Source organism: Homo sapiens, chromosome 10 (assembly GCF_000001405.40).
Source record: "Homo sapiens chromosome 10, GRCh38.p14 Primary Assembly".
Lineage (NCBI taxonomy): Eukaryota > Metazoa > Chordata > Mammalia > Primates > Hominidae > Homo > Homo sapiens.
In genome coordinates this window covers 59,087,430-59,094,607 of record NC_000010.11, presented here as the reverse complement: position 1 = coordinate 59,094,607, position 7,178 = coordinate 59,087,430, and the positions used below count along the sequence as shown (strand labels likewise).

The following is a 7,178-nucleotide window of genomic DNA, read 5'->3' as shown; positions in this document are numbered from 1 at the left end:
TGGAAGAAATGTTTTTAGTCACCAAACATGTAACTGCTCACTCTGGCTAAAGATTAGTCTTGCATTTATTCAAAAAGGAGTTCATAAAAATATATTTTAAAGATATTCCTTTATATTACAGCTATATGTAGGTATAATTCATTGAGAAAGGAAAGGTATTATGAAACAGCTATTAATAGATAAAGCAAAATGATATTGGCTATTTTCATTTGGTAGCTTCTTAATAAGAGTAAATTATTGATATAATAGTGAACCATTCAAGGCCAACTTAATGTTCACTAAGAAACAACTTCGTTTTATTGTCAGTTATCCAAAGGAGGCTCTGGCAGCCAGGATTGCTGAACATTTCACAAGGAAAGTTTCTCAATCTCTCTTTGTAAATGTCTTTAAAAATAGAGACTAGATGAGAATTTGGGCATCATCTCTGAACCCAAGTGCACTTAATTTATTTATAAATCACATTTATCAAAGAGAAATTGTATGATATAGAAGAGTCATAGAAACATGTTTGTACATATAGTTGCTTTTTAACTTAATTAATTGATTTCTGTAATGTGCCATTTTGGGCAAAAACAATAACATTGTAGAATCTTTCCAAGAGATTCACTTTCTGTTCTCACAGACTGACAATGTCTCTCAAGTGGATTACTGCAAAGCATCCTAACTAGTCTTCCCACCTCTAGTTTATAATGCAGACATTGCTCATAAATCCAAGTAAATATCTCTGAGTGTTAGTTTCCTCAAATGCACAATGAGGATAATACCTACTTCATGGAATAATGCCGAGGGTTAAATAAAATGGCACGTATAAAGCACCTAAAGTAGTGATAAGCACATAGTAGGTGCTCAATAATGAGAATTTAAAACAAAATAAAAATGCCCATGCTGATGGAGTAATGCATTTCACCCCCCACTCAGACATTTATGTTTTCATAATGCTATATTTATATAAGCCTGTGTCTGAAATCCTGGGAATTTGCCAGACTGCAAGCACAATAAGGCTCCAGCTCATGGGAGCATGAAAATTATTTGCTACAACCTCTTTCCTACCTGTTCTATTTTCTGAGAAGTAATATACCTTGGACTAGTGTAAACTACCATCTTAGGTAGAGATACCTTTTTTATAAGTTGTTTGGTTTCTGTGCAGTAAAATAACTAAATGAATCAGAAAATAGCTTCCTTTCATTTACTTCCAGAGAAAATGGAAATATACTAACAGTATTGAGTCTTATGCAATAATGTGTTCATCAGAAATTAAGAACTACTATTTGTTGAAGTTTATCTCTTTTCACTTACCCCTCACACCAACGCTAAAAATTGCCATTATTTACCCTATTTTACAGATGAGAAAGTTAGATTCTAGACAGATTGTGATTTACTCAGTGTCACATGGCTATAAGCTACATGGTTTAGATTTAATTTCAGGTTTCTCTGACTTGTATGCAGACTGCCTCTCAGCAGAAATGTATTAGGAGGAAACTAGATAAGCTAAAATTTGTTTAGTCTGCTCAGGAGTAATTAAAGGTTGAGAAGAAGTTAAAGTTTTCGTCTGGACCAAAGAAAGTTCTTTTCTTTTTTTAAGAACTCAAAATAGTTGGCTGACTCATGAGCTCTCCCAAGTCATGCTAAATTTTCAGGGTGTTGTTTTTGCCTAAATTTTCTCTCCTCAAAGCTAATGATTTCCTCCTCAGTGCTGATGTAGTTTTGTGCTAACCTAAAGGAAGGAAAGAATTACCCAAAGAGATATGAACTGTAGCTTAAATTTAGACCGTATGTATGTTTGACTGAATTCACATTCCCTGGCCCAGCCATAAGTCTTCTCTTCCCTTTTTCTCAGTGGTAGACCATATCCCTTGAAGTCAGTTATAATAAAATCACAGTTCATTGCTGGAATAAGCTACATGCAACTAAGGAATACTAAAACTCATAGCTACCCCCAAACTCTTAAAATACCTAATAAATGGTATGTGAACATTTTGAAAAGAAATTACTGTTTCCTTAATTTCCCCTCCAATCATGAGAGTCATTTCCCCCATCTTTGCTTATCCTGGCAGCTATTCAAGACCAGCTTTCGTTGCTATTCACTCTCTTTATTATATCTGCAACATGTTTGAATAGTCATAGTTCTGTGCTCAGCTTTGTAATTAGATGGAGTGATGAAAATAACTTTTACTTGAGTCCAATTTTCTCTGTATAAAAATAACTCTTTGAATCTTCTGATGTAATAAATTATAGAAAACTTTAGGTAGGATTGGGTCTAAAATTGGAGTCTGATTAGGGCCAGATGCTTCTAAGCGGTATCAGAACCATCTTTCACATTGTATTCTTTCATTGTAGACTCAGATGCTACGCCATAATTAACCTCATTCGTTCTGCAAATTTGAAGATTTATGGTGGATGACCAGTAGGACATAGTTATCACCTTACATACGAATTTATGTCCAATAATTGCTCTGCATACCAAATAGCTAATTTATAAAATTGAGGATTGGGGGATGAAATTCTCAAACTTCTTTCAGGCCTGCTGTTTATTTACCTCAGTTTCCATATGCAGATATATAACACAATGTATTACAATCAAATTTTGAATTTGGGTTCTTAGCTTTTAAAAATACCACATTTTCTAAAATTGTGTCAGGAGAGAAGATTCTTGTCTCATCACTCAGCTTACTAAAGGCATTACATGGCATTAGAATTAATACCTTGCTCCAACAATAACAGCACTGGTAAATAATTTACATCTTCATAGTACTATAAATTACAAACTAAATTTGGGATAGCAAACTGAAATCACTACAAGGCTAGTCAGGTGACCTAAATGGGTGAAGCTGGGTGAGGATGTGAAAAATGAGACAAGGTATGCATCAGAGTTTATACACTGGAATATCTGATGCAATTCAGCAATACACTAGATAGTTCTTTTTTAAAAAAATTCTCATCCAAATACAAAGCTATGAGATCTGAATGAGTACCAAACCTCTCAATGGCTGGAAGATTATCCATAAAAGTCCCTGGGAAGAGAGGAATGACCCCAAAGAGTCAAGTTGCCTTTATTCCCTACAACTCCCTCTGTGTTCCAGGGACACCAGGGCTCCTGGGCCAGCCTTCATTAGGAAAGTGCAAAAGAACTGGAACATTTCCTTGCTGAAGCACAAAGGCCCTTTGCCTCTTTTGTTGGCTCAGAAGCTTCAATCAGTTTCAGAGTTTCAAAGGTTCAAACAGTGTAGTTCCAACTGGGCTAGGATTGAGTAGTGTCCAGGGCACTGAGTAGGAAAGTGAATGTCTCTGCCCACTCAGTAACCCCCAGTTGGTGAAATCTTCCTATGAACGTCAAAACATGATGTTTTATGATTTGAGCCATCACAAGAACAGCAGAGAACAGGGTGGTGAAATACCAATTTACCCTTCACTTTCAAACAACTATTTATTACTTGGCAACCTTTGAAATAACATAAACAACTGTTCTTAAGGACTTACCAAGACCCATTCTCTAGCATCATACATTCAGAGCAGGCAGCTTCCTTTGAAAGTTATAAAAGAGTCAGGCTAGCCTAGCTGATAGTTAGAGAGCCAGTGATGGACAGACATATAAAAGCCAAGTTAAGTGAAAGGGAAAGAGAAATGAACCATTAGAAAGGGACATAGCAACTCGAAAAAAAAGTCATAGAGGAAGAACTGGGGAAAGCAAGCTCCATTGTTCGTTACCCTCAGCTCTTAGCCAAGTCAGGGGGAAGATGGAAAATGATCAGCATACAGAAAACCCACTTATTGTCAGCTTTTGTTACACTCCATTATGGCTAAGAGACCAGATAAACTTTTATTCTCTCTTTAATATGAAGAGGAGGGCAATTATTTATAAAGGACAGTCACAAAGAGGTGTCTTAGTGCCAGATATGATCCATTAACATCCCCTGGCAGACTCCAATTATCCAATCCCCACTTATATAAATTAAAATTCTGAATCATTCAGTTATTTTTGTTAATCAATTCCACAAATATCTATCATCTACTCTATCTACTATGGGTTAGCCACTGCACAAGGCACGAGTGATATAAAGATAAATGAAATGTTAACCTTGTACTCAAGTAGACTATAGTCTAGTGGATGAGAAAAAACACCACACCAGTAATGGCAGTATGGGAAAGTGGCAAGAGCTCAGCCTTCAGACCCAGATATAAATGGATTTGAATCTGTACTATGCCACCTGTTAGCTAGCCTTGCTAGCCAAACCTCAGTTTTCTCACTTGTAAAATGGACATAACTTTATATATAATGTAGGGCACTTTTATGAACCAGGAATACCATTTGTCAAATAAAATAGGTATTCAATAAATGGGCATCAGTTTGTGCTGGATACCTTGTGTTTGTCCTTCTAGATTCACACTCTACTTTTCTCAGTCCTATTCTATGACCTAGGAACTAGGAGGCTGAACTTTATAGATCAGATATATTATGAATTATATCAGTCTCCATTTACCCTTTGGCTTCTGGTTGGATTCAGTTCATTGAAGTCATTGGCAGTAGACTGGAGGACATGAGGAATGTGAGGCTGAGTATGTATTTCCCAGGATCCCTCATTGCGGAGTTGCTGTGGATCTTTCTACAAAGGGCCACAGCCTTTATAAGGCTCAGGCATTCTCTTTGGCTTGTATTAACTACTTCTCTTTTCTTCATCAAGCTTAGGGTGGAAATACTTTCTGATGCTACTAGTACCAGGTGGTACTGAACTATCTATTATTGGTTCCCCTAAATCCCGACTATTCCTTTGCTTTATTAAACTCTTCTCAAATTGTCCAGTTGGAGTATGTTGTCTGTTTCCTGCTGAGACCCTGATACATACAAGTGTCATTATTAGTATAGATAACAATGTACTATGAGAATAGAGGATAAACAAATAAAACCATCCTGGAGGATATCAGGAACAGTTCTAGGAGGACGTAGAATCTAACAACCTCCTGACGATGAACAGGAATAAGCAACGTGAAAAAAAGCAGGAAAAGAACATTCTGGGCAGAGGAATACCATATGCAAATGTTCAGAGGTAAAAAAAAAAACCCTACTACATTGTGGGGGAATTTCAAGTTTAGCTACAGCATAGAATAAGAGATGGAAGGCTGACAGATGAAGCTGAAGAAGTAAATTGAACCAAGGTCACGAAAGACCATGCGTGACTTTTTCCTCCAGGCAGTGAGATATTACTAAAGGATTTTAACCTAGGTTATAACATGCTGACATCGCATTTTAGAAAGTGATACAGAGACAAGGTTAGAAAGGGGAAAGACTGGAGATAGAAATATCAATAAGCAATTTTGGTGAAAAAATAAGGTAGCCAAATGGGGGCTTTTCTTCCCCTTTCCCCTAAACAACTAGTTGTTAAACATTGGTTAAGACCACATTAAAACGGGAAGAGTCCCTTCCCTCAGCTGCTGCCAAGGTGCTCGGTCCTTCTGAAAAAGCTAAGGCCACATTGCAGTGAGGCCCCCCACCCACAATGTGGTGAATGTGAGTCTCGAGCTGCCGGGTATGGTGCTACTTCTCACAAGTAGTACTGTGGGCCGGCAGCTCCGGTCCCACTTTCACCCAAGATTGTCTGCATCTACTGGGCCCTCATTCTGCAAAGCAATGAGGTGACCATCACGGAGGATAAATTCAATAACCTCATTAAAGCAGCTGCTGTAACTGTCGAGCCCTTTTGGCCTAGCTTCTTTGCAAAAGCCCTGGCCAGTGTCAATATCGGCAGCCTCCTTTGCAATGCAGGGGTTGGTAGATGGCTCCAGCAGCCTGCACCGCACAAGCAGGAGGTCCTGCCACTTCCACCACTGCTGCCTCAGCTGAGGAGAGGGAAGTGGAAGCAAAAAAAGAAGAATCTGAGGAGCCTGACTAGGACATGGGCTTTGGTCTTTTTGACTAAACTTGTTTTATAACATGTTCAATAAATAGCTGAACCCTTAATAAATAAACAAAAATAGATAAATACATAAAAAGAGAAGAATACCTCTGATAATGATAGCAAAATTTGAAGTCTGACTTGTGTAAACAACAACAACAACAACAAGAAAAACCTAGCCAAGAACTAACAGGCAAACTAGAACTGCAGGGCACATTCCAGGACCTGAATGGAAAGAAAGTTAGAAGGATCAGTGGGATGTCCATGAGGAGCCATGTGAAGATGGACAAGGACATTGGCACTGAGAGGAGAATCTAAAACATCTGAAGTCTCAGGTAATTGAGGTTGCAAATCAGTAATGAAAAATCAGGGTAATCTCTAGATCAGGAATCAGAAACCAGGAGCTTCACAACAACAGAAGATTATTCAAACATTAAGATGAGGGTGGGGGATGTTGTATCAAAGCAAAGCCAGAGCCAGAGCCAGAAAACTCTCAAAATGGTGGCATGGCTTCTTGCTAGTTTTTATAAAAGAAAGCTTCCGTTTCCTTGCTGGGGAATTACACTGGAATACGTTGCTACCCTCACCTCAAGGTATCTTCCAAAGAGTAAGGAAGGTCAGAGTTTAGAGAAACATCCATAGTTCAGGGCAGATGTGAGATGAAGTTGTGGCATGGGCAACTACTGATCATGTGTAGTCTTTGAGCTCATACTCCCATAGTTCAAAAAGTCTTGCAGCCAGTTGCCCAGGGGGTAGAAGTCAAAGACAGGCCAATGGGCAACTGTTTGTTTCCTTTAATTATGGTGGGCAGGACTGGCTGCATTGTTTGTGGAGCCCAGTGCAAAATGAAATGGTAAGAAAGTATTAAGTATTTGAAGATGGCAACAGCAGAACCATAAACTAAGCATACAGCCTGTGAAGTTGGCCCTCATGACTGGGTCACTTTGGTAATGATGAAAATTGGCCTAACATATTACCTTCTTCTCTTCAGTGTAGATTCTTTCTTGTATTATTCACCACTTTGAAGAAACAGAGATCTTGACTCTTTGGCTAGTGACCATAGATCTGGTAAGTGCAGACTCTCTGGAACCAGGAAACTTAAGACTGAGAGAAATATGATTTCAATGACATCTGGCTAATGCAACATCATGGCAAATGGCAAAAACTGTGAGAACATGACTGTTTCCAAGCATAACTAGTTGAATGGGCTACATGATGTAATAAACAATGCAAAATTTTCATGGACGCAGAACATAGAAGCTTCTTTCTTGCCCACATATAATCCAGTGA

The 7,178-nt window shown here is 38.3% G+C and overlaps 1 pseudogene; it reads left to right on the top strand.

Annotated features, from left to right (window-relative positions):
- Window positions 5,585–5,947, top strand: RPLP1P10 (ribosomal protein lateral stalk subunit P1 pseudogene 10; annotated as a pseudogene).